Source organism: Homo sapiens, chromosome 18, assembly GCF_000001405.40.
Source record: "Homo sapiens chromosome 18, GRCh38.p14 Primary Assembly".
In the NCBI taxonomy this organism is placed as follows: Eukaryota; Metazoa; Chordata; class Mammalia; order Primates; family Hominidae; genus Homo; species Homo sapiens.
The window spans coordinates 73,929,328-73,930,577 of NC_000018.10; positions in this window are offsets into that span (position 1 = coordinate 73,929,328).

A 1,250-nucleotide genomic window follows, 5' to 3' on the forward strand; every position below is an offset into this window, starting at 1 on the left:
TTATAAGGACCCTGAATGTCCAACAATTGGCAATGAGTTGAGTGAATTATTAACAAAAATATGTAATAACATTTTCATTTATAATGATAACATAAGTGTATACTCTATTGATATGGAAAGATGTTTATGACATATAAAGTGAGAAAAGCAGAATCTAGAAAAGTGTTTCAAATATGATCCAGTTTTGTTTCTGAATTGATAGTTTGAGAAGGAAGTATACATTCTGAAATGCACAGAAACTTAATAGTGGTTTTATCCAATTGGTGGGTGAGATGAGTGAATTTTTTTGACCTCTCTGAAATTTCTGCAATGAACATTGTATATGTAAGTTTTTTAATGTCTTAAAGAAAATAAGGAAAAACTTTGGATTAAAATGTGAGGGTTCTGCAGATGCATTTTAAGATTTTAAGCACAGAGGGAAAGCAGACAGAAGATAAGATCACATGGCTATCCATGACTGATTTTCTACTACCCCTTTAATAAGCCAAGATCAAGGCTCATTATAAGATATCTGCATCAAGTTGAGTTCCCCATCGCACGACGAATTTAGAACATTGTTTTAGAACTCCAGCCTGGCCTCCTCGCTGCATCCCATTCCTCCACACACAGAGGAGACATGGAATAGTGAGGCTGTCATTACAGATTAGTATTGACATTCATAATTTTTAATATTAATTGAGGTCAAACCACTTTTCTCAATATAAACATTTGTTTTTTGACAATCTAAGACATTTAGCGATCTTAATTTTTTAAATTGTGTACTTAAAGCATTTTCACCCATTATCTCCAAGAACTTTCTAGAAAGATGGCATAGCAATTAAGAAAGTTTTGTGTTTTATCTTCAGAGGGTGTTTGGCTGATTTTTTTTCAATTTGAAAAATTCTGCTGCAATTTATTTGTTACTGTTTAAGGCATCGTCTAGAAAATTCAATAGAGAGCATACTGACATCTTTTCCCTTACAAAGAGCTTAATAAAAACTAAGTAAAATTCACATTTTATTAGCAGTAATGTTTTAGTATCAGTAAATGATTGTCTTTCTAAGTCTGCAGATAATCCATCTGGGTATTTTTTGGTCTTTAATGAGACACAATATTTGAGAACTCATTCATCTTCTGCCTCAAAAAAACTCAAAATTTTCATCCAATAATTGAAATGAATCATATATTATATCATTCTTCACTCCTCTTTTTGGAGGTGAAGTTACCTAATTGATAGGTGCGAGAGATTGGAGAGAGTTAGTAAGAGCTCC